Source organism: Homo sapiens, chromosome 17, assembly GCF_000001405.40.
Source record: "Homo sapiens chromosome 17, GRCh38.p14 Primary Assembly".
Taxonomy (NCBI): Eukaryota; Metazoa; Chordata; class Mammalia; order Primates; family Hominidae; genus Homo; species Homo sapiens.
Genome location: NC_000017.11, coordinates 6,604,046 through 6,630,011, shown reverse-complemented (window position 1 = coordinate 6,630,011; position 25,966 = coordinate 6,604,046). Strand labels below are relative to the sequence as shown.

At 40.0% G+C, this 25,966-nt stretch overlaps 1 protein-coding gene across 15 annotated transcripts in view; it reads left to right on the top strand.

The window, feature by feature from the left end:
• Positions 1-25,966, top strand: part of KIAA0753 — a 62,565-nt gene that overhangs the window by 10,700 nt on the left and 25,899 nt on the right. For 8 of the 15 annotated variants that reach the window (XM_047437193.1, NM_014804.3, XM_011524096.3 and 5 more), the window contains exons 3-12: positions 1,271-1,895; positions 5,151-5,257; positions 6,441-6,503; positions 6,915-7,130; positions 9,014-9,224; positions 17,864-18,093; positions 19,852-20,018; positions 21,548-21,664; positions 22,742-22,831; positions 23,050-23,139. In XM_047437193.1, the coding sequence (XP_047293149.1) occupies positions 1,271-1,895; positions 5,151-5,257; positions 6,441-6,503; positions 6,915-7,130; positions 9,014-9,224; positions 17,864-18,093; positions 19,852-20,018; positions 21,548-21,664; positions 22,742-22,831; positions 23,050-23,139 (1,916 nt within the window). Of the gene's footprint in view, positions 1-1,270; positions 1,896-5,150; positions 5,258-6,005; positions 6,406-6,440; positions 6,504-6,914; positions 7,131-9,013; positions 9,225-17,863; positions 18,094-19,851; positions 20,019-21,547; positions 21,665-22,741; positions 22,832-23,049; positions 23,140-25,966 lie in introns of those variants that run through there. The other 7 variants (NM_001351225.2, NR_147088.2, XM_011524100.4 and 4 more) reach the window with 7 other exon arrangements.

Here is a 25,966-nt window from a genome sequence, read left to right as displayed (position 1 = left end):
TAGCTGGGATTACAGGCATGTGCCATCACGCCTACCTAATTTTTATATGTTTTTTAGTAGAGATGGGGTTTTGCCATGTTGGCCAAGCTGGTCTCAAACTCCTGACCTCAAATGACAAACACCGTTCATCAGTCTGTGTATCTTTCAGATGGTACCTATTTGTTTTTTCTTTAGTGAGCTTTCTAACTACTTTTTAAAAATCCGAAATACTTCCCTGAAGTTTTGTCACAATTGATTATTTTTAAGTGACTCTTGATGCCTGTAATTATATAAACACATTGATTGTGAGAGCAGGGGAGGCCATCTCCAAGGTCACGGCATCACAGGACTGGGTTCATTGAATTTGTAGGCATGGATTCTCCTCAGGCTATTGACCGGTCTTTGACAGGTTCATTCTGGTAGGCCTAAGGAGGGTACATATTTAAAGCCATAAAATCGTTTCTTTCCTTTAACCTGATAATCCCAGAACAGATCATTTATCCTAAGGAAATAATTTTAAAAGGTTAAAAAACTAAATGCATGGAGACATTAATTGAGGTAATATTTCTATTAGTGGAAAAACTGGAACAATCTAAATGTTTAATATTAACATTATAGTTAGGCATGAAAAGACCATTCATTGGATTTTGGAAAATGCAACAATGATAAATAAAAGCTGTAGGGATATAGAAACATGTTTATGTTTAAGTGCAAAACGAAACAAAACTTGTATTTATTATGAGGAAAACTGACAAAAACTTGAGCCTGTGTAAGAAAGCATAAGCGGACTGTTTCAAGTGAGATACACTTAGGGGCAGGGTAAAAGATGGATCCAGCCACCAAATGAAGTCTCAGGAAGACCTGAAGAAGTACTATCAGATGGCTTGGATCTATCCGTGGAGCAAATTTTAAGAAAGCTTCAATGGGTTATATTGGTCACTTGCTGGGGCCTGACATTTTGAAATAGGACAGAAGTCCATAACTGGGAAATTGAAGGACTTAGTGGTTGCTGCTTGAAGCTTTCTGGGTTTACTTTTAGAGATGGTTCCCAGTATGACATTAGTAAACAGAAGGATAATAGTATGGGACTGGATGATTATAGGATAGAACCAGGGGTATGTGATGAACCCAAGGGTGTAGGAGCGTGGCTGTGTCTATCAGTAAAACAGAAAAATGCCTCTTAGCACTAATGATCTGGTGGCAAAATTTTAGAAATTTGATTATAGACATATACCAACTGTGCAATATGAAATTTTTCTGATGTCTGCTTACTTTTATTTGCTTTTTAAAGAACCAGCTGCAGTTTAATAGGAATGTTCCTACACATTCAAGCAACTTGGCGATCCGATATTCTTGCCCACATGCCATTAGAATTGAAAAACTGAAGCACTCATACAATGAATCATACCATTGTAAAGATGCAGATTGTAGAGTTGGTCCTGACCTGGGCAGTTCTGTTTCATTTTCCGTCATATCCCAAGAGAGACTTAGCTATGCTGTCCACCTAGCCAGAAGAGATGTGAAACGAAGACAATTTGAAAAACATATAAAAGAACATCATCTCAGAAGTCAGCCTCAAAGCTCTCAGAAGTGTGGACATACTAAGTATAAAATACCCGACCACAGGGTGGAAAGGAAGGAATCAAAGAGTCAAGCAGCCTGTCAGTGTAGCCACCAGCCATCCAAAGTAGAAATCTCCAGCTCTGGTGCCAAAGTATACCTTTACTCATCTCATCCAGGCCAGTCAGATCTTACTGTGCCAAATTCGCCACCCACCCATGATCCGGGACTTCAGCCTCATCCCAGGATAGGTGACCACAAAAACATAAGTGAACAGAAAAGCCTGCTAGAAGTCCAGCGACTCCAGAAAGAACTGAGCAGTTGTATCCACAAAATTGAAGAGGTAACTAAAAAAGGTGAGAAAAATTAGATTCTTTACTTCGACCTAAGGCTGTGATTATGGGGTAGTTTAAATGCATTCCTTGAGGACCCTCAACCCCTATAGCAATTTCATTCTTTCCTTCTGTGAGTTGGTTCACTGGAGTGTGAGTACTCAGGACAAGACAGTTAGGCTTGGAGTTTGAACAGTGTCTTGCCCCAGCTCCTCTTTCCAGCGGAGGGACATGAAAGAACTTCTTCACTGTGGCTGCCCTTCAAATGTCCACTGACTGAGGGCCCAGCCTACGAGGTGGCATTAATGTTGGCTGAACCTTAGGTCTTCTGGGACCTGAGTGCAAATTATCCTATAATGTTTTCCCTCTTCTGGGAAAATTATTTTTCAATTTGCTTGAAAAGAGAGCATAATGTATTTATATTATAGGTAAAACCAGTTCTCACTTGGGCAGTATTTAGGTGAGTACACACCAGTGACAAGGGAAGTTGTGGGTATATGTGTAAAGTGAGCACAGGGTAGGAAGGAAGGAATTTAATCATCATATATGGTTTTCTACAGTTCTGCAGTGTTCTCAGGGCCCTTGTATTTCCCTGCTGAGTAGAAGACTGGTTCCACGTGGAGAATTTGGGGTTACCGTAACTAACAAGTAGGGAACCAAGCCCAGCTTTCAGATTGCAAGGGGTATGGAGTTGAGCATCAAAAGAAACCGTTGCACTAGGGTAGTACATAGTCTAGAATTATTTTTTGCATTTTCAATTTAATTAATATATGCATATGTACCTATATGCATCTTATGAAAGAATTTAAGGTACCTTAAGAAATACCTGTGATTGAATAAGATAAAACAAAAATGCACATGAGGATATTGTGGCAAAGGAAACAATAAGGAAAGGAAAAACATTTACTAGGGATGAGTCACAGATTTGCTTCTGAGCTTCCTAGGAGCCAGCTAAAGAGGGAACGTCAAATCACTTGGAGAATTTACAAAGTCTAAGACAGAAAAAAACAATTGTGTAAGGAAAACAATTATTCCACATATTAAGGCCAGAAAGAAATTTCTCCTGTAGGTCTTCTTAAAGAGTGTGTTGTATAATATCATGAACAATTCAAAACCATTCCAGCATAAAAATAACAGAAATGTTGTGGCTTGTTTCTCTTGATATTCCTTAGTGTCAGCCTGTGGCATGGACCCCTACCTACTTTGATTGGAAGCCCTGCGACCAGGGGAACAAAGCCACAAGGCCCACTGCTCTGGTGATCTGGCCTAATACCGGGGAACTGTTAGAACAGAGCTTTCAAAGTCTCTGTGGGGAAGGACTGGGTTGGTTTATTTTATTTACATGAATTTTCAATGTGTCATAAGTCAATACTTTGTGAACTATAATAAAAATGTCACAGTAGCGGCAAACTGCTATGGAAACACGTAAACATATACTTTAAATTTCTGTACTTACCTTTCATGGATTAATAATATTTTGCGATGGCCCCTGGCTGCAGACCCCCTTTGAAGTAGCCCCGAAGGCCCATTTGTGCTTCCCAGTGCTGCTCTGTAGACAGCTGCAGGCGCTGCATGGGAATCATCTGCAGTGAGCCTTCAAACCCCCCACCTAAGCCCGTTCCATTTATGTTCATAGAAGTATGTGAATCCGGATTTTCCCCTACCATGCAGCCCAAACGAGATGAAAGTAATTAGACATATAGGGTCTCTTGAGACTGCATCTGTATCTACAACTCCTGACTTCAGATTTTTGCTTTCTTCAAAACAGCCTTATACTCTTTGCATTGTTTGATGTTTTAAAGAGTAAATATTAAAAATTTGAACTTATAAAATACACTTTTACTAATTGAAGACTCCCTTTTCTTTGATAATTGGAGTATATTGGAGTTTCGTATAAGAATTTGTTTGTATAAGTGTATTTGAAAACCACAGCCTGGAAGGAATAGATAGATTGCATCTTCTTCAAACAGTTTTCCAGAAACAATTTCTTTGAACCAATCTTTTCAAGATATAGAGTACCAGTGTGTACAAGGGTATGCTTCCTGAGAAATACATGAAGACTCTAGACACTCAAATAATTTTGAGACTTGCTATCTTAATATGTTAGAGAAAAGACTTGTCTTTTGAAATCAAGATTAAGGCTGGGCATGGTGGCTCACACCTGTAATCCTAGCACTTTTGGAGGCTGAGGCAGGTGCATCACTTGAGGCCAGGAGTTTGAGACCAGCCTGGCCAACAGGCCAAAACCTTGTCTCTACTAAAGATACAAAAATTAGTTGAGTGTGGTGGTGTGGACCTGTAATCCCAGCTACTCAGGAGGCTGAGGCAGGAGAATCACTTGACCCGGGAGGTGGAGGTTGCTGTGTGAGACTGGTGACAGTGTGAGACTCTGCCTCAGAAAGAAAAAGAAAAAAATGTTTACAATAAGATGCTATCTTAATGTCTCTCTCTCTTTTTTTTAATTCTTCTCTTTTTTAAGACAGTCTCATTTTGTCACCCAGGCTGGAGTGTAGTGGTGCGATCTCAGCTCACTGCAACCTCCGCCTCCTGGGTTCAAGCAGTTCTCCTGCCTCAGCCTCCCGAGTAGCTGGGATTACAGGTGCACACCACCACGCCTGGCTAATTTTTGTATTTTTAGTAGAGACAGGGTTTTGCCATGTTGGCCGGGCTGGCCTTGAAATTCTGACCTCAGGTGATCCGCCCATCTCAGCCTCCCAAAGTGCTGGGATTATAGGGGTGAGCCACCACTCCTGGCCAGGATTTCTCTTTTGAATTCAACATTTGATTATTCTCTATTAAACAGCAAAGACTAAAGACCATGTTAAGTGTCTTTCAGGACATATTTAGTGGCTGATCAATAGGCATTTATTAATACCTTCTTTACATTGTAAAACTAATCTTGCTAAACATAAAAACAGGCCAATAAAAAGTTTTTGAAAAAATAGCAAGAATAACAGATTTTGGCTCAATATAAGGAATTCTAAAATAGTAAGAGGTGCCTCATAGTGAAATCGCTGTCCAGTGGGAATTCTGGCTGGAGGGGAGCTTGATGGAGTAAATGTCTTTATGTCCCTTCCATCTCTCAGTCAGTACACAGCTCCACTTACTGCTGGTTTCTTGGCTGATGAAAAATGAAATTTTCTGTTATGATAGCCTCATTTTTTTCTTAATAAAACCAGAGATCTTCAACTTTATTATTTCTGTAAGTAATTGAAGTCTTTGTAAGTTTTAATATATGGTTTATAATCCACTTTTGGGGAAAACTATTAATATTTTCAGATAGACTAGAAGAAGCTTTGGATCCAGATGAAGAACGTCGAATCCGTATCAGGAGACAGGAGCAAGCTGCTCGCTCTGCCCGAATGCTCTACGTCCTCCAGCAGCAGGTGTGAAAAGTTCAGGGAGAAGTAGGGCAGTCAGCCTTGTGTACTGCTTCCTTAGAGAGTTTCTGTTTTCCTTTTGTCTCAGAAAGATTAGCACTAGAGTATCCCATATGAGTTCTGACAGATTTGTGAGGCTCAATTACCTGAACACATGGGCAAATAATTCTCTTTCTTTTTGTAATCTGCGTGTGTGTGTGTGTGTGTGTGTGTGTGTGTGTGTGGCGCCAAACTCCTTAAACTGGTTCTTGACTTTATGAGGTCATAGACCTTTGAGAATCTATTAAAAGCCACTCCTCCCCACCCCCAAGATGCTTATACATTATATAGCACATATTTTTGCATGGGAAGTCAGGTGGATCAGTTACCCTGAACCCTTGGTCCTAGCTATGGACCCCAGTCTTAGAGGAAAGGGACCTTGTTAGTTTCCCATCTATTTCATGTTTATAATGTATAGAAGCTTGTAATAGTAAATAATTTGGTAAACAGCAAAGAGTAAAGACCATGTTAAGTGTCTTTGAGGACATCTTTAGTAGCGGATACACAGGCATTTACGTTCTTTACATTGTGATGGATTTTTAAAAAGTGTTTGTTGTGACTTTCATGCCTTATACATTAGTAAGCCTTTTACTCATTTCTGGTCACTGAAGTCACATGTTAGCCTTTATTGCTTGAACCAAAAGCTGTACTTTTTCATTTAAAAGAAAATGCCTGAGTTAGGTTTTGCAGTGTATTCTTTTGGGTTCTATTTCAGTTCTTATTCTACACTGCTGCCGTAGAGATTGCTCTAAAACATGAATCTTACCATGTCAGACCTCTGCTTAAAAGACTTTAGTGGCTCTCTGTAACTTAGAGGATGAAAGCTAAACTCTTCAGCGTGGCATGTAAGACTTCACGATCCGGCCCGCCTACATTTCCAGAGTCACCTCCACCTTCACTCCTTCATGCTAAATTCCTATTACACTGGGGACGAAGGGATGGAAGGTGAACACTGCCTATTCACTATCTTGAACTGGAAACCAGTAACTGTTTTTTGGGTGCATGAATGAAGAGCCTTTTTTTCATTTTCAAGTGACTTGAATTAATAATGGTTATATTTGGACAAGAGGAGATATATCGATGCATCCTTTTCTACAAAAAAGATCAATGGAAAGGTATGAAGTTTTCTTTTTTCCCCTTTACAAAACAGGTAAAAGAAATCCAGGAAGAATTGGATAAATTGAGTCCACATAAAATTAAACACACTAAGAAGGTATGCTGCAATTAAATTATGATCAATACTTGCTTATAAATGACATTTCCCAGTGTTTTGTTAGTATTGTGTAGGGCCCTCTGCACTAATGTTATTTTCAGTACTTGCAGAAACCTGTTAGTGAGGGAGTGAGCACCTTACATATTCTGAATATGGTTGCCTTCTAAGGAACAGGTTCTAAAAAATAGATTTTTGTTGTTGTTGCTGCTGGTATAAAAAATTGGAAGTAGTAAGGAAAAGACTGCCACTAGAAAACTTTAAACTTTACAACTCCCTTTACTATGAAAAAGTTTTCACAATAGAAAGCACTTTATACAGAAAGAAGACAGGCTATAAATATTCTTAGAAGTTGGGTGAATGTTAGCAAGTTCTGAGTATGGAAATAACTTCTCTCATCTTGTTTATTACCAGTCATGGGCAATGTCTAAGCTGGCGGCTGCCCATCGAGGAGCCATTCGGGCCTTACAGATGTTTGTCACTCAGTTTACTGACCGAGGGGAGCATCCACTTCCTGCTCGGTGTAAGGAACTGGGCAGCCTTATTCGCCAGCTTTCACTTTGTTCTGTCAAGCTGGATGCAGACCCTTCTGTTCCTGATGTGGTTATAGATATTCTGCAACAAATTGAGGTATGGAATTAATTCCAATTTTTGTTAGAGGTGCATTGGAAGTAATGCTTACTATTACCTAGTTTCGTTAGGATTTATGGAGAATACAAGACAAAGCCATTACCTAGTGAATTAAAGCTTTGCAGAGGGCAGAAGAAACACTTCTTTTTGTTTTGCTATTTTTACAGTGTAGTCTGTATTATCGTATTTCACTGCTTCGAAAATTGGTAACTTGAATATAAAACATGTAACAACTTTAAACCAGGTTCATTAACTAAACAGAATGTCCCATTCCCTGGCCCATGCCATTTGAGAAAAAAATTTATTAGCATAGAAAAGGAAACCAGTAAAGCATTCTTAGATTAGAATATCAGTGTTTAATTTAGATGGATTTTGGAAAAGAAGAAACACTTAAAGGTACAGTATATGGAATCAGAGCCTCAAATCTTGTGATATAGCTAGAGACGTCTAGAAATCACAGCTGGCATGTATTAGACAGGAATTGATAGTGTTCTTAGTTTTCATTGGTGACAAAGACACATTAATTTTATAGCTCTCTGAAGTTTGCATGGTGTTTCCATGTAATTATGCCATTTGACCCTTTCTATGGCAGTATGCTTTGCAATGGGTTTTACTGCTGTTGTACAGGTTAAATTTTTTTAGAAAAGCAAACATCGGAGAGATGACAGTTATTTTTCTTGAGAGCTAGGCATCAAATTCTATTTTCTGACTCCCATGCTAGTATTAGTTCCCCTACGCCATACATTTTCATCCACAAATAGAAAGGTGATCTTTATGTTAGCATGGCAGAGTAAGCTGTTAGCTGTAGAAGAAAGGTGGATAGTGGAGAGAATTCTAGACTAAATGACACTCCAGTTCTACCACCATTAACCAGCTCTTGGTGGTCTTTAAGGCCACTTCTGCCTTCACAGTTTCATTATCAAGCAAATGTGTTTGTGATTTTCATTGGTTACATTCGTGTATATAGAACTCACTGTGAGGAATGCTGTTGTCAAATGCAGACCTCAGAATTTTAGGCAGCATCTCAAGTCATGTGATGCTTTTTTAACGTATCCGTAAGAAACATTTATTGGCCAAAATAATTTAGAGTACACATCTTCATAATCCTATAAAGGATCTGAAGAAACTCTCTAGTCCCTCTCCTACATTTTGAGCTTGAGTAAGAGTACCTTTAACCTAATGTTTCTTAAACAGAATGTTTATCTCCCCTACTTTTCAAAATGCAAGAAATGTGTTATTTTTCCTCTTGTGGCCCTACATCATTTCACAGCATGTTTTCTTACTATATTACTGTTCTCTGAACTAAATCTTCCTGACCGTGTTCAGTTGTCCTTAATCTGTCCTGACCAGGTGGAGACTGGGCCCTGACTTCCCAGTAATGGATGGGTGGGAACTTATTAGAGGAAATGCCTTTTTTTAGGAAGGTGAGACACAGACCCTCCACTCTTATTGACCTATTAAGTGGTCTTTAGTTCAGGAAAATGTATGTTAAATACAGTATGTGTGCCCACTTAAAAGACTGAGTTTATGAGATTTTTGTTGATGATTAAAATGCTTTTGAAGCAGATGGGATAATATTCTGAAGACTATAGTTAATTTCTAAAATGATGATCCTTTAAGATTTGAATGCCTTTAAAAGTAGTCATATTCATTATGTCTTTGCTATTGGCTTTAGTGAGCTACACATCTGAAAGTACTCACAGAAATTGTTACTAATTAATTAGATATCCTAAATAATAACATGTTTTAATTAAGATTGTGTTAACTGTTAGAGATAGCCATTTAATAACACATTTCCCTGGAGTCCTTATTTTCAGTTTTGTGATTAAAAGTCATACTTTTGCGAGATAAACTAAGAGAATAATTGATTGTTTTTGTGGCAGGCTTTGGAATCTCTCCTGGAAAAGAAACTGTCACCAAAAAAGGTGAAAAAATGTTTCAGTGAAATTCGGAGCAGATTTCCTATCGGTAGCCAAAAGGCCTTGGAGAGATGGCCAAGTACATCACCAAAGGGTGAGAGGAGGCCCCTCACAGCAAAGGACACATTCCCACAGGAAACAAGTCGACCTTCTGTAGCAAAGCAGCTTCTTGCCGGTATGTGTCTTAAAGTGTTTATTGTAAGACATTTTATTCATTACAATTATCTGGGCTATAACAGTTACTGCACTGAGGGGAAAGTCAGGATTTAGGACCTAGCCCACAACAGATGAACTTTAACTAGGATCAGTAAATAGCAACCAAGATGTTTCCTGGGGCTGGAGGCATTCTATAGAGGAAGGTTGAGAAAGTAACATTTCCTTTGCTACATCATAGTGTTTGGGCTACCCAAGGCAAATTCCCATAGAGCTGGAAGTTAGAACCCTACTTTAAAAAAAGTTTATTTTATTTTAATGACAGAGATATGTACACACACAGAGACACACACATACATTCTATATATATATGTGTATATATATATATGTATTTTTTTTTCCTCAGATAAATTTTTGTTATTCTAAGAAGTGGAATTGTTAGGTGATAACAGTACGTACATTTAAACAGATACTGCCAACTTGCCCCTTAAAAGTGGGCACACATTTATGTCTTGACTAGAAGTGACATCAGTATATATTTCCCCACATCTTCACCAAGTATGTTATATAATAAAATTTTAAAAGCTTTCCAGTATCAGTGGACAGTGGCATCTTCTTGTTTTCTGTTACATTTTCTGATTCCTGGTGAGGGTTGTCGTTTCTTCACATGCTCCTTAGCCATATTATTTCCTCTTCTGTAATTTGCCTGTTCATATTCTTTATCCATCTCCCTGCTGGGTTCTAAGTATTTTGCTTATGGATGTATATGTTAGGATACTGCATTTTGTTGGTCTGAGGTACACATTTGAATGCTCCTGAAATCATTATTAATTGATGACAACTTGTAGTTAATTGTAACATTTTAAAATTGTAAACATTTTAAACATTTAAAAATTCCTGGTGATGTATAAAATACTGATGTGTCTTATAATTGATGTTTTAGATTTGATGAAATACGGGACTTTGTTAGTTAACTCTTTTATTTCTCTAGATAGATGAGATCACCTATAAATATGTATGGACAAGTCCAGTAAAGTTTGTTTTTTTTCTTTTTTCTTTTTTTAAATTAAAGTAGAACATACAAGTTGGGTGTGGTGGCTCACGCCTGTAAACCCAGAACTTTGGAAGGCCAAGGCAGGTGTATTGCTTGAGCCCAGGGGTTTGGGACCAGCCTGGGCAACATAAGTAGACTCTGTCTCTACAAAAAATGCAAAAAGTAGCCGGGAGTGGTGGCTCATGCCTGTGATCCCAGCTACTTGGAAGGCTGAGGCAGGAGGATCACTTGAGCCTGGGAGATGGAGGTGGCAGTGAGGTGAAATTGCACCACTGCACTCCAGCCTGGGTGACAGAGTGAACCCTTGATTTAAAAAAAAAAAGTAGAACTTACAGATAGAAAAGTACACAAAATAATATAGATTTATAGCTGAATTAATTACCAGAAAACAAAAACATCTGTATAACTACTATCCAGGTCAAGGAATAGAATATTACCGGCATCTAAGAAATTACCCCCTTGAGTTACCCCTTCCAATGTTTATCTTCTTCATCTTCCCCAGATTATTCTGATTTTTTTTTTTTCTTGAAGTGGAATCTCGCTCCGTTGTCCAGGCTGGAGTGCAGTGATGTGATCTCGGCTCACTGCAACCTCTGCCTCCCAGGTTTAAGCAATTCTCCTGCCTCAGCCTCTTGAGTAGCTGGGATTACAGGTGCGTGCCACCACGCCCAGCTAATTTTTGTATTTTTAGTAGAGACGGGGTTTCACCACGTTGGCCAGGCTGGTCTTGAACTCCTGACCTCAAGTGATCCACCTGTCTTAGCCTTCCGAAGTGCTGGGATTACAGGCATGAGCCACAGCGCCTGGCCTATTATTGGAGTTTTTAATTGTTTTAAGAGTTCTATATTCAATCTACTTACATTTAATGAGATTAATGACATATTTGAACTTTTTTCTACCTGATTTTGTTTTTCATTTGCCGAAGTTTTTTTCTTTGTTGTAATTTACTACATTAATCAATATTTTATTTCTTTTTTTCTCATTGATTTGAAAGTTATATATATCAGTCCAGAATTCAGTTGATTTATTTCTCAATCTGCCACTATTCTGTGGAACCTTAATAGTTTAGTGTTCCACTTCTACTACAAGTGTAACTGTAAGAGACAGAAAAACCAAACTGTTTTTCCTACGTAAGACTCTCAATACTTCACCTCTGACACCAAATGTGTGGGTTTTTGCCACACCAAACAATTCTCCAGGGGACACCAACTGGGTATCCTGTAATTCAACTCAATTCTGACACTATCTCCCTGGAATTAGAGTCAGATACCACGGGTTAAGTTTCAGTCCCATAAGAGACCCCAGCTTCAGACACCAGTCACAAGTCCCAGGTTGTGACCTATGCTTCTGAGCGACAGGCTATAAAATTGGGGTTCCCTTGACCCCCTCCTGGGGTTTGCTAGGATGGCTCACAGAACTTTGAGAAACACTTTACTTATGTTTACCCATTTATCATAAAGGGTGTTATAGAAGATACAGATGAACAACCAGATGGAAGAGATGCGTAGGACAAATTATAATATGTGGAAGGGCACAGAGCTTCCATGCCCTCTCCAGGGGAGCCACCTTCCAGGAACCCCCACATGTTCACCATCCTGGGAGCTCCCCAAACCCTGTAGTTGTGGGATTTTTTTTTTCTTTTTTTCTTTTTTTGAGACCGAGTCTCGCTCTCGTTGCCCAGGCTGGAGTTCAGTGGCGTGATCTTGGCTCACTGCAACCTCCGCCTCCCAGGTTCAAGTGATTCTCCTGCCTCAGCCTCCTGAGTAGCTGGGATTACAGGCATGCACCACCTTGCCCAGCTAATTTTGTATTTTTAGTAGAGATGGGGTTTCTCCATGTTGGTCAGGCTGGTCTTGAACTCCCAACCTCAGGTGATCCGCCTGCCTTGGCCTCCCAGAGTGTTGGGATTACAGGCGTGAGCCACTGCACCCAGCTAGTTCCAGAATTTTTACGGAGGCTTCATCGCATAGGCATGATCGATGACGAACTCAGTCTCCAGCCCCTCTCCACTTCCTGGAGGATGGAGGATGGGAGTGGGAGTTCCAAGCTTCTAATCATGGCATGGTCTTTCTGGTGACCAGCTCCCATCCAGGAGTCCTCCAAGAGTCACCTTATTAGAGAAAAAACAAAACAAAATGCTTCCTTAGGAAATTCCAAGGGATAAGAGCTCTGTGTCAGGAACTGGGGTTAAAGACCAAATATTAGGAAAAAAGATGAACCTAGCACCCCTAGTGCTTGGGAAATTAGAAGGGTTTTAGGAGCTCTGGGCCAGAAACTGGGCTAGAGACCAGATGTATATTTTTTATTATATTACAATAAAAACCTAATTTATTCATTTACTGTTAGATATTTATTCACTTTAATGGGATGTTCGCTCTCCTTCATTGGTAGGCAGGTAGAAGTAATATAGTATCTTCCTTCTAATTAGAAGTCTGCCTTTGCCAGCCTTTCCCTTGAGGGTGGGTGTCACATTTATTTGTCCTTATATCCTCTATGATGAGCCCAGCATCTGCCACACAGTTAGGCACTTAAGTGCTTGTTGAAAGACTCTGTGAAGAAGTGTAATTGAATAAGAAAAGATCTCTGAGCAGCAAATCACAGTAACTTGAGTTCTGGGTGCTAGGGAGCTCATTTTGATAGACTGGAGGAAATGGAGAGAGCATTCCAGGCCTGCACACAGAGAAGTGTTTGCTAAATGAGGTAGAAGATTTGAGGTGCCCATCAGCTGACTAGTGAAAAATGGACACCAGTGTCAGAGAGAAGCTGGAAAACCTGCTAACCTAAAACTCATTACAGGAACAAATGTAGGAAAGCTGGGAGGCAAAGGGGGGAAACTTGGACCAAGGAGACCTAGATTTTAGTCCCACCTCTGCCAGTTTGTGAATCTGGGTTGACTTAATCTGTCTGAATCTTATTTATTTATTTATTTTGAGACGTAGTCTTGCTTTGTCGCCCAGGCTGGAGTGCAGTGGCACGATCTCAGCTCACTGCAACCCCCGCCTCCTGAGTTCAAGCGATTCTCCTGCCTCAGCCTCCCAAATAGCTGGGATTACAGGCATGTGCCACCCTGCCCAGCTAATTTTTTGTACTTTTAGTAGAGATAGGATTTTACCATGTTGGTTGGTCGGGTCTCGAACTCCTGACCTCAGGTGATCCACCTGTCTTGGCCTCCCAAAGTGCTGGGATTACAGGTGTGAGCCACCTCGCCCAGCCTGAATCTTAAGTTTTTTATCTGTAAAATGGGAAGGATAGTCTTTGTGTTTTGTGACTGACTTAGTTGTTGTAAGTGGCAAATTATCTAATTGCTAACTGCTGTAAAAATGTAAGGTGGCATTTTTAGTTCTTAATAATAGCACCAAGTTATTAAGAAAAGGCTAGATTGTGTTAGGCATATTCTAACTAAGAAAACAAATCTTTGGTGGCTATTTTAAAAGTAGTTTTACATGGCCATAGAGAAGTAAACTTAAGTTCTCTGGAAAATGTATTTATGGGGAACAGCTCCATGGGCCCTGACAAGGCAGAATGAATGGGACTCGCCTGGGACCGAAAGCCAGAAGACTTGGCTCTGCCACTCTTTGGGAACCTTGAGTAAAACACTTAAGATTATGGTAGCCCTCTTAGTTTTATTTTATATTTGTTGTTTTTTCTTGTCCTTATCTGGATTTCAGAAGGTTACATTTTCCTGTTTCTGTTTTAGGTATCACTCTACCCTATTCTTCCATTCTGATTTCCTAAGGTCTCCTCTTCCCCACCCACCCCTGAAAAAATACTCTAGGGAGCCACTTGGATGGAAAACCCTCCCTGTGTACTCTTCATTTGGAATATACTCCTGAGCCTGATTTGATCAGCTGTCTTGTGATTTACATAATAGTTGGCTGGTGCAGTTTTTTTGCAGCTTCTGAACTGTTCTTAAATTGGTTGATTGCATTAGTGTAACTTGTCAGCAATGAGGGTGGTGGCTCCCTTCCCACCACCAGCAGTGTCCTCAAACTCACTCCTGAAACATGCTGTTTTATGCAAATCATTACTAGAAAGGTAACAGGACTTACAGTCAGAGTTGCTTTGATGTATATAAGCTTGGGAGTTAAATAAATTACAGACTGAGGATTTAGGTTTTTTTTTTTTTTTTTTTTTTTTTTTTGAGACGGAGTCTCGCTCTGTTGCCCAGGCTGGAGTGTAATGGCATGATCTCAGCTCACTGCCAGCTACGCCTCGCGGGTTCACACCATTCTCCTGCCTCAGCCTCCCGAGTAGCTGGGACTACAGGCACCTGCCAACATGCCTTATTAAGTGGAGCACTTTTACCTTTTCACTTAAAGGGGACATTTTCCAGCTTCTTCAGCATATCTGAATCGCCAGCATCACTGTAGTTGCTCTTTGAGGCCATTACGAAGTCAAGTTCAAGGTTACTTGAACACAAGCAGTTTGATACGAGACAGTTGCTGTGATCACCAAGACAGCTACTAGGTGACTAACAGGCAGGGAGCGTCTACAGCATGGATACACATTTTAAAACTTATGGGCCAGGCGCAGTGGCTCACGCCTGTAATCCCAGCATTTTGGGAGGCTGAGGTGGGTGGATCACCTGAGGTCAGGAGTTGGAGACGAGACTGACCAATATGGTGAAACCTCATCTCTACTGAAAAATACAAAAATTAGCCAGGCGTGGTGGCACACACCTGTAATCCCAGCACTTTGGGAGGCCGAGGCTGGTGGATCACTTGAGGTCAGGAGTTTGAGACCAGCCTGGCCAACATGGTGAAACCCCGTCTCTACTAAAAATACAAAAATTAGCTGGGCGTGGTGGCACATGCCTGTAATCCCGGCTGCTCAGGAGGCTGAGGCAGGAGAATCTCTTGAACCTGGGAAGCGGAGGTTGCAGTGAGCCGAGATCACACTACTGCACTCCAGGCTGGACAACAGAGCAAGACTCCGTCTCAAAAATAAAATAAAACTTATGAATTGTTTATTTCTGGAATTTCCCATTGAATATTTTTGGACCCAGGGCTGATGAGGAGTAACTGAAACTGAGGAAAGTGAAACCAGATGGCAGTACAGTTGAGGCCCCTTTTGTATTTTTCTCCTCATTCCATTCTCTTTTCTCCCTCACTAGAAGTTACTATTGTCATTCTATTATAGACGAGTTCTGTTTTTACATTTGTACTGCTTGTGTATCTGTCATATATAGTATTGTTTTATGTAAATATCTTACAGTATGCATCATTTTGCAGTTTGCTTACCCCCCCCCACTTATGCTTGTAAGGTTTTTTCATATTGATACATACATTGATACATGAATTCTCATTTATTAATTTTACTGCTGTATAGGTTTCCCTTATATGAATATACCATAGTTTATTTTTCAGCTCTTATTGATGGACATTTTGGTTGTTCCCAGTTTTTTGCTTTTATAAACAATGATGAAGTGAAATGAATATCTGTGTTCCTGGCTTCCTCTGTGCACGTGTGAGAGTTCCTCTAGCCTGAGTATATACCTAGGAGTGAGATTGCTGGGTTGCAGTGTATATGAATCTTAAACTTTACCAGAACAATCAAGTTGCTAATAGTCTGTGAGAGTACTTGTTTTTCCACATCTTTTGATGGATTTAAAATGATATCTCATTGTTTGAATATTTTTGATTCTAGTGAAGTCAATCATCTTTTCATATTTTTATTGACAATTCAGATTTTCTGTCTAAATTGCCAGTTTCTGTTCTTTGTCTATTTCTCTATTGGATTGTTTATTTGTCTTATAGTTTTGTAGAAGTTCTTTATATAGTCTGGATATTAGTCCTATGTTAATTATGCAGAGATCTACTTCTGGACTTTGGCTTGTCTATTGACTTTAAGGATATCTTTTTGTCAAATGGAAGTTGTAGTTTAGTCCAATTAAGTTCAAATATGTCAGTATTATATTTGAGCTTTAAGAAAGTCTCTTCTGCCCTGGTGTTATACTGATAGTCTGCTATATTTTCTAATTAAAGTTTTAAAGTTTTCTTTCCACATTTAGGCCTTCATTCCATTTAAACTTTAAGTGTTCAATGTGAGGCAAGGATTCTGTTTTATTTTTTTCTCTGTGGATGCTAGTGGTCTTAACACTGTTTTTTGAACAATTCAGTTCAGACTCACTGAGTTATCGTGCTGCCTTTGTCACGTCCATGATGTCTCGCTGATTTCTGCCTGTGTTTGCATCACTCCCACACTGCCTTTAATGTTTTATCACTAAGACTTTGTCTTTGGTTGAGTTGACTCCTGCCTCCATCCACTCCCCACTTTGTTGGTTGTTCTTCAAAATTATTTGGGCTACTGGGATTTTACTCTGTATGAATTTTGGATCAACTTATTTAGATCCTTGAAAAAAAATCTGTTAGGGCTTTAATTGAATATGCACTTGAAATTATGGATTATTTTGGGGGAGAACTGACATCTTTATGGTCTTTTCATTCATGAAAACAATTTATTTAGATTTTCTTTCGTGTCCTTTACCTTATAAATTTTTCTGTAAAAGCCTTGTACTTCTTTCATTAGATTTCTTCCAACGTGCCTTGTAGTTTTTGTTGTCATGTTAATGAGATTTTTTTCTTATATTTTCTATTAGTTATTTTGATATATGGAGATAATACTGATTTTATGTTTTCGTCTTCTTATATTCAGAAACCTTGCTGACCCCTCTTCTCAGCTGTAATAGTTTGTCTGTAAAGTCTCTTTGATTTTCTGTATTGTCTCATTTTCAAATAGACAGCTTTATTTCCTTTCCCATTGCAGGTTGAATGTCTTATATGGAGTTCAGACTTTATTCTCTATCAAATTAGGACCCATTGAAGGGTTTGAGTATAGAAGTGACATTTATTTATTTATGTATGTATGTATTTATTTTTATTATTTTTGAGATGAAGCCTCGCTCTTGTCCCTCAGGCTGGAGTGCAATGGCATGATCTTGGCTCACTGCAACCTCTGTCTCCTGAGTTCAAACGATTCTCCTGCCTCAGCCTCCTGAGTAGCTGGGATTATAGGTGGCTGCCACCATGTCTGGCTAATTTTTGTAGTTTTAGTAGAGATGGGGTTTCACCATGTTGGCCAGGCTGGCCTCGAACTCCTGACCTCAGGTGATCCACCTGCCTCAGCCTTCCAAAGTGCTGGGATTTCAGGCGTGAGCCACCGCCCCTGGCCAGAAGTGACATTTAAATATTACATTTGAGAAGCACAATTTTGGTAGCCAGAAGACAGTGTGAAGATAAACAGGAGATCAGTTAGGAGACACTGTTATTCCAGTCACAGGATACTGCAAGCCTGACCTTGGGTAATAGCAAAAGGGAAGGAAGGGCAGAGATAAATGTAAGAGCTATTTTAAAATTAGGATCAAAGGGACCAGGTAAATGAGTAAATATGATAGCGAAGATTCAGGGAGTCAACCGTGACACCTAGGTTTCTGCTTATAAACCTGCAGTAATATTCATAGGAGGAGGAACAATGTTGACAACAAAACATCTGCTTCTCAGCAGGGCTAGGATAGGTATTTGGAGCCTATCTGTGTGTAGATAATCATTCTCAGCAATTTGATTTGAATAGCATTTTCCTCAGTTTGTTTTTCAAAAATTTCCATGTAGATAAGTATCAGCCCGATACGGAGCTTCCGGAGACCCAGAGGTTGCAGAGTGAGCTTGATGTATTAGATGCGGATATAGTTCTGGAAGAAGGACCATTTATTCTAGACCAAAGTGCAAGCTTCAAAGACGAGGTGTTAGCCGTGGCAAAAACAAAAGCAGGGAAAAAGAAGCCTGTGACTGAGAATGTGCCGTTTAGGAAGAAAGATACTCTGGCGCCAGCAAGACAGCAAGTATGAAATCATTCCTCTCTTTTGGCCCATTTGTGTTAATCTGACATTGTCAAGGTCACATAAACTGGTATATGGTGGAGCCAGTTCTCAGGCAATTGGATGCTGCAGTCCTTGAGTCTGGCTATTTAAGTTGTTTATATATTTTAACAAAAAAATAACAATTTTTAATATTGTTACTAGAATAGAGAATTCTTTCTATTCCTGGTTTGGTAAGATCCTAACTAATATGATACCAATATCCTAATTGGGCAGGAGATTTTAAAATTCAGTTTTTTTTCTGCTTCTGATTTGGAAGTGTGAGACTTGAGGGGATTAAGATTTGGTTCCTGCCGGGTGTGGTGTCTCAGGCCTATAATCCCAGCAATTTGGGAAGCGAGAGGATTGCTTGAGGCCAGGAGTTTAAGACCAGCCTGGGCAACATAGTGAGACCCCATCTCTACTAAAAACAAAATTAGCCAGATGTGGTAACTCATGCTTGTAGTCCCAGCTATTTGGGAGCCTGAGGCAGGAAGATCACTTGATCCCAGGAGTTTGAAGCTGCAGTGAGCTGTGATCGATCCACTGTACTCCAGCCTGGGCAACAGAGTAAGACCCTGTCTTAAAGAAAAAAAAAAATTAGTTCCTGCTAAAGATAAATATCGATCAATAATAATTACTGCATATTAAAAGGGCATCCTAGGGTGAGTGCTTTCTAATATGGCTTTGGGAGCCAGCAGGGTACAACTTGATTTGAAACTACATTATATTTTAAGCTTCTGTTTAAAACTTACTTATGGCCCTATCAGTGGAAAACTGGCCAAAAGACCACCTCCTGGTCGAATACCCTTATTGTATTAGTGACATTTGGTGGTCTTGCCCAAAGGCTTCTTTAGCAAATCTGTTTATTTTCAGGTGGCCTCCAGAAAAGGAGAGTTAGCAGTTATCCCAAGTTATTGACAGATAATGGATTAGGATCAAGTCTGTTTCTTCCCAAACTTCTATGGCAGGGGGCGACCATGAATCATTGAGATGTCAAGATTGAACCTGTAGGAATTCAGATGGGTGCGCCTCTCCACAGACAGCCCGCATTCTCGATAACATTTTTTAAATCGCTAGATTCATTCTATTTAGACCTAAGGCCCAGAGAGGTTAAGTATTTTTATGAAAAATGTTTTACTCATTACTTGAGCCCAGGAGTTCAAGACCAGCCTGGACAACACAGTGAGACCCTGGCTCTACAAAAAATAAAAAATTAGCCAGGCATGGTATCTAACACTTGTGATCCCAGCTATTCAGGAGGCTAAGGCAGGAGAATCGCTTGAGCCCAGGAGTTTGAGGCTGCAGTGAGCTATGATCATACCTCTGCACTCCAGCCTAGGCAACAGAGCAAGACCCTGTCTCTTAAAAAAAAAAAAAAAAAAAAGAGAAAGAAAAGAAAAAAGAAAAATAATTTAACAATATGGTATGAAATTTTTTTTGTTTAATTAGGAAACAAATTGTGAATAAATAAAAATATATTTTATATATTGTTTATATGTTTAAAGGTGTCAGGCAGAGCCAGGGATTTAAATTCTACACCCTCCACCCCCCGCCCCTACCATGGTTGTTTCAATGAAATTTACACCCTCCCCCAAATTTCTGCCACAGTGCTTTCTACTCAGGTTTTACCGAATGGATGCATGAATAACATGGAGAACTTGGAGCTTCAGTGAGTCAGAGGTTAAACCATAGTTTCTTTGGTATTTGTGTGGCCTTATAATTCTTACTTATCTCTCACAGGGACTCCGCAAAGCTGAAAGAGGTAGACAAAGCCAACCTCACAGTAAAAGCAGAGTGCAGCAGACAACAGTTTCATCCAGATTAAAAATGAACCGGCAGCCTGTGAAAGACCGCAAGGCACCATGGATACCCCCAAACCCCACATCCCCACCAGCGTCTCCTAAATGGTATGTGAAAACTCAAGGGACCGTTTGTGTATGTGATGCTCTTTTTCCTCCATATATCAAAGGTGACCTGTAGCTTATAAGGAGCAAATTAAGTAGTAGCCTTAATTTTTTCCATTAAGCAGAAATCCTTTTTTGGGTGAGTCATACATGAGAAGTCTTTGTCTGGAAGCTTGTTGGTTCCTTCTTCTGCCTGACTGTGGTTGGAACACCCTTCCATGGGCCACCCCAACACCGGGACATGTGTGATTGAATGGAAGATGGGGGGCTTCCCTTCACTTGTCTCTTCTGCCAATAGATTCTAGTAACTTGAGGCCAGGGACTGTGTCTTTTTTATATTCTTTTTTATATTTGAATGTCCAGTGCTAGTCACATAGTAGGCATTCAGTAAATCTTTGCTGAGTAAATAAATATTTTAAAATAATTCTAACTCTAAGTCAAGATAATTATGAACTATAAAACTATATAGATCTCACCAACACTGTCTTAGCTGCAGGGAGCAATTAGGATAATGTTGATGTTACTGTCTTGTCATCCTCACTCATAGCACATTAGAATGAGAAGCTGCCATTTCACAGGGCTAGAGAGAAGAGGAGCAGGGTCCAGTTAGGTGGAAATAATCTTTAGGGGAATCGGTTGAAGATAAAGGGGAGCTCGTTTGCCGTGAGGCAGTAGTTTTTGAAAACACAATGGAAAGGACCAGGAGGTGGAACAGAAAAAGGAAAGAAGTAAAAAGCAGTCATGTCAGGGGAGAAGGGAGAAGATAGGTGACTACAGGGTTCTGTCTTTGGAGCCATCAGAAGTCAGGGTGAGCAGCTTGGTGGAAGAGAAGCCCCCTAAGATTCCGAATGAGTGTGAAGGAATGGCCGTGCTCATCCATCCACTCTCATTTTCAAGTTAAGGAAACAATGTTTAGAGAATTTAATGTCTTATTCATGTAACAGCCAGACCTAAAATCAGGTCTTCTGACTTCATAATGTGCTTTTTTTGTTTTTATTACTCTATTCTGTTTTCTGTATTTTTGTATACAAGTATTAATATGGAGATTTACATTCAGTTGATAAGCTCAGTGGTTGAAGTTTGTATTACAAACCAAATATACAATGGACTGTCTTTTAGAGTGCATGTGTGGTGGGTAGAGGAGGGTGGGTGAGGCTTCTAGGCTCAACAGTGCTGTTAGGCCTTATAAAGATACGGAGTTGCCTTATAATATGGAATGTAATTAGTGATCCAAATCTATGTATTGTGACAGAGTTTTGTTGACACTCACCCAATATTCTGTAATTGATCACTGTTTCTCATTTAAAATGGTGATGGCTTCTTTGAAGCAAAGGAGAATTTCTGCCCTTTGACACTGTGCCTGAGTGCGGGAGGATCTCACTTTTCTTCACATTCAGCTTCTACTGTAGGGCCCCGTGCTACAGATCACCATTAATTTAATGCTGTTGTCATCTCTGAGCTGGCACCTACTTGGATGAGTCATTGGATACGGAGTGAATGATGACAAAGGTATGCTTTTCCATTTATTTCAGTGCTGCATGGCTAAAGGTGAAAACTAGCCCCAGAGATGCCACAAAAGAGCCTCTCCAGCAAGAAGATCCTCAAGAGGAAAGTCACCTGACAGGTGCTGTTGAGCATGAAGCAGCCAGGTTTGTGCTGGTATTTTTCAGATCTTTGAGAATTAAAGAGCTCCTTTTACATAGACTTGGAAGTGAACCCTTTCTTCTCTTTCCTACATTTAAAGTTGGTTATTTAAAATGTAGATTATTTTTAAAAATAGAATAAATACATAAAATGTAGTTTATTAAACGTTTCAGTCAAACTATATAGCTTATAGTGAGCTCTTCTATTTTTTCTTATTCATTCATAAATTATATATGTGTCAATTATATATCACTTGCTAGTTTTGTATGTGACAGTGTTATGAGCTCTATGGAGACTTTAAAAAGGGCAAATAGGCCATAATCCCAGCCCTTGCTTATTTATAGTCAATAGAGAAGTTATGTAATTAACTATAATTTAAGATAGAACACGGTATGTAACCTAGGAACTGAGAGAGTTTAGAAACGGGGGAGGGTTACTTCTGGCTGCAGAGGTCTAGGCTTCATGGATGGAAATTAAACTAGGACCTGAAGAACAGGCAGGATTTCAATATGGGAGATGAGGTGAGAACATTCCATAAGAAGAGAACAGTGAGAACAGGTTTCTCTGTATTCATTTGGCTGAAATTATTCTTACAGTTATGGGAAAACAAAAATGAAAGCGGTCCATTAAATAATTTGACAATATTCATATATCCTAAACCAAAAGAATCAAAGCACTTTTACATACAGCAGAGTTGTTCACAGTTAACTTTTCCCTTTTGTTTTTATTTGACTTCACCATGCCTATATGGCTCCTGGGGGCTCATTGTTTGTCTCAACTTGAAGATATAGCAATGGTTTTGTTTGAGTCTAATAAGAAACCCCAAGTCTGAGTGATAGCTGGTTTTCTTGAGAACGTTTGAGACAGGTTCTCATTGCGTTGTGCATTAATGTTTTTTGACATGGAACACGTTCTAGAGAGCTTTAGGGGTACGGAGAGATTATGTTACCTACTGAGTAGCTTAATAGAGCCTGGATTGGTGCTCTGCTCTGCAGTGGTCCTGATTTCTGGTCTGTTTCTGTGATGATGACACCCTGCAGTGTCGAGGCAGAATTGGTTTGACTCTTTTGACTGTCTGCTAGGCTCGCTTGGCTTGATGCTGAAACTTCCAAAAGATTGAAGGAACTAGAAGAGTTAAAAGCCAAGGAAATTGACAGCATGCAAAAACAGAGGTAAATATTTGCTTCTGAGTTAGGAAAAGGTAAGCAGGCCTATTCTACATCTCTATACATTAATGATAAATAGAGATTATTTAGGTCTAGCTACACTTCTGCCTCCTTAAAAGACTGAAGTCACTTAAGAAGCCAAGGGGGGAGCCAAGACTGGAGCTCAAGGGAGCCCTGACTCTGCCTTGAGGAGAGTTGGGGTGACTCTTGATACTGTTCTCTAGGCTTGATTGGCTTGATGCTGAAACTTCTAGAAGAACAAAGGAACTGAATGAGCTCAAAGCTGAAGAAATGTATAGACTCCAACAATTGAGGTATGTGTTTGCTTCTTAGGAAGAATAGTGGATGTTTGCCTGTTCTAATTGATCTAGATAGTTCTAGCAACCAACCTGGACTGTTAAGGCCTAACTTCATTACATGAATGAATGAATAGCTGCATGTCTACCTGTATATTATACCATATTTTTTTGCTAGGAAATGCTTCTTTTGTGTGGAGTTTGAAGGAGAACTGAAAAAAATCTGTAATTGTAGAGAAGTTCTGTCTGAAAGATCAGAGTCTTATGTGTATTTGTTTGGACTACCCTCAAAGGTACTTTTCTCTAGCCAGATGTCAGTCCTTCTAAGGGCAGAAGATGAGTATGATGCACATACATGTTCTGCTCATGTGAATCAACATATAGCTACTTTAGTTTCGTATGTTAGCTTGAGTGCAGGCTATGGTTTTCAAATGCGGTTCCCTTTTTCTATTCACTCCATAAGTGTTTTTTAAACTATAGGCACTATAGACATAAAGAAGCTTGTTAAAAGATTTAGTTCAGCTGCTGCTGCAATTACCTCATTTTTCCAACTCTGATAATAATTCATCCTATAGTCACATTAACAGAACACTCATTGAAACATCTGTGCATTCTGTCACCATTCATGATGGAGTGTTCAGTCTCAGGTTAGAAGGGCTGTGGGTTTATCATTAGAAGGCCAAGACTTTTTGTCTGTAGTAAAGATTTCAAGTCATACAATCCCAGAATCTTGGGATTTGAAGGATCTTTTCCCCCCAACTGAGGCTTTTGGCTCCTCTCTACTATCTCCACCAAGGAACTGTCCAGTATATTTACACACACCCTCTGTGATGGGATAGTCACTACTGTCAGAGGGAATACATTTCATGGTCATTTATAGCTAAGAAGGTGTGACCTCAGGCTGTGTTGAAGTTTGGTTCTCTGTGACTCTTACCCACTTGTCCTTTGGGCCATATAGCAAAAGCTTCATCCTCTGTGTCCCGTTTATTCCTCTGTGTGTTTTTACTTCAGAAATTAAACATATCACACATATAGAAGAACATACTGAATGCACATGTGCAATCCAAAATATTACAGAATGAACATCCACGCACCACCATCGTAAGTCAAGGAATCGACCGTTGCCACTGCTGCAGAAGTTTCCAGTGTATCCCTCCTCAGTTGCATCCCCTTTCCCCCGAGAGGCAGCCACTGTCCTGATTCTTGTGTTGATCTTTTCATTACTCTTCTTCATAAATCTGTCAACTATGTGTGTATCCCTAACAATATCTTGTTTAATTTTGAAAACTGAGAAACAGGCACAAATCTAGCTGAACATGGAAAGGGCAGTGTTTCTGGTAGTATCAGATGAAGACTCCTAGGGGAAGACAGGTTGAACAGAGCCTGGATCCTAATCTGATTTGTGCTTTCATGAGAGTTGTAGGTGCCCCTCTCAGGAGGTCACTGAGCAGGGTCGGGAGTGAGTCCTGCACACACAGGGCGTCCTCCATCTGGAGGGCCTGTCGGTGAGCCAGGTCCACTGGACTTCGGGAGGAAGCCTTGTCAGGAGAGGGGCTGCGCTGTAATGCACGGCTTCTCAGCTCTTTCTGGTCAGCTACTGTGGGGATGGGATGACTATCCTTAGCAGACAGCAGGTCTGCAGTGAGTAGGAGAAACTTCATCAGCAAAGGGGCAAGACAAGCCAGGAATCTAGGCTTAGACCTCCCATTTCCCATATTGTGTTGTAATCTTCTTCAGTTTACTTGCTTGTTTTGATGGAGCACATGCTAATGTAGCTGCTGCTTTTTTTTTTTTTTTTTTTTCAAGTTAGAGACAAGGTCTCACTATGTTGCCCAGGCTGGTCTTGGACTCCTGGGCTCAAGTGATCCTTCTGCCTTGGCCTCCCGGAGGGCTGGGGTTAGGCATAGGTTAATTTAGCTTCTTGAGAAAGGATGAATGGGAAGTAAATCCTTTCAGACCTTTCAAGTCTGAAAATGTCTTTATTAGCTGATAAACCATCTCATATTTGCTGGTAGCCTTACTGGGTATAGAAGATTATTTTTATTGGAAATTTTTAATTAAACTTCTTATTGTGAGGTAATCGTAGAGTCACACGAAGACCCAGTTTCCCCAGATGTTAGCCTCTTGGGAAACTACAGCACAGTACTACAACCAGGATATTAACATTGGTATAGTCGAGATACAGAACCTTCCCACCCCCAAGGAGCCCTCATGTTGCCACACCCACTTCTCTCCTGCCCCCATTCACTGCTTGGCTAAATATCTCCTGGCAACCACTCATCTGCTCTCCCTGTCTATGATTTTGTTATTTCAAGAGTGTTATTATAAGTGGAATTGTATAGTATGTAACTTTTGGGGACTTCTTTTCTTTACATCATTCTCTGGAAATTCATGGAGCTCATCACATGTATCAGTAGTTCATCCCTTTTTGTTGCTGAGTAGTATTCATGGTGTGGATACAAACAAACCATAGTTTAACCATGTACCTCTTCAAGAACATCTGAACCTGTGGTCCCAGCTATTTGGGAGGCTGAAGTAGGAGAATCACTTGAGCCTGGGAAGTCGAGGCTGCAGTGAGCCATGATCATGTCACTGCACTCCAGCCTGGACAACAGAGCAAGACCCTGTCTCAAAAAAAAAAAAGAACATCTGAGTTCTTTTCCAGTTTGGGGCTATTATGAATACAGTTTCTATAAACAGTTCTGTAGAAGTATTTGTGTGAACATAAGTTTTCCTTTTTTCCTGGGATAAATGCCCAGAGGGCAGTTGCTGGGTTGTATGCTAGTGGTATGTTTTGTTTCGCTTTGTTCCAAACTGCCATACTGTTTTCCAGAGTGGCTCTGTC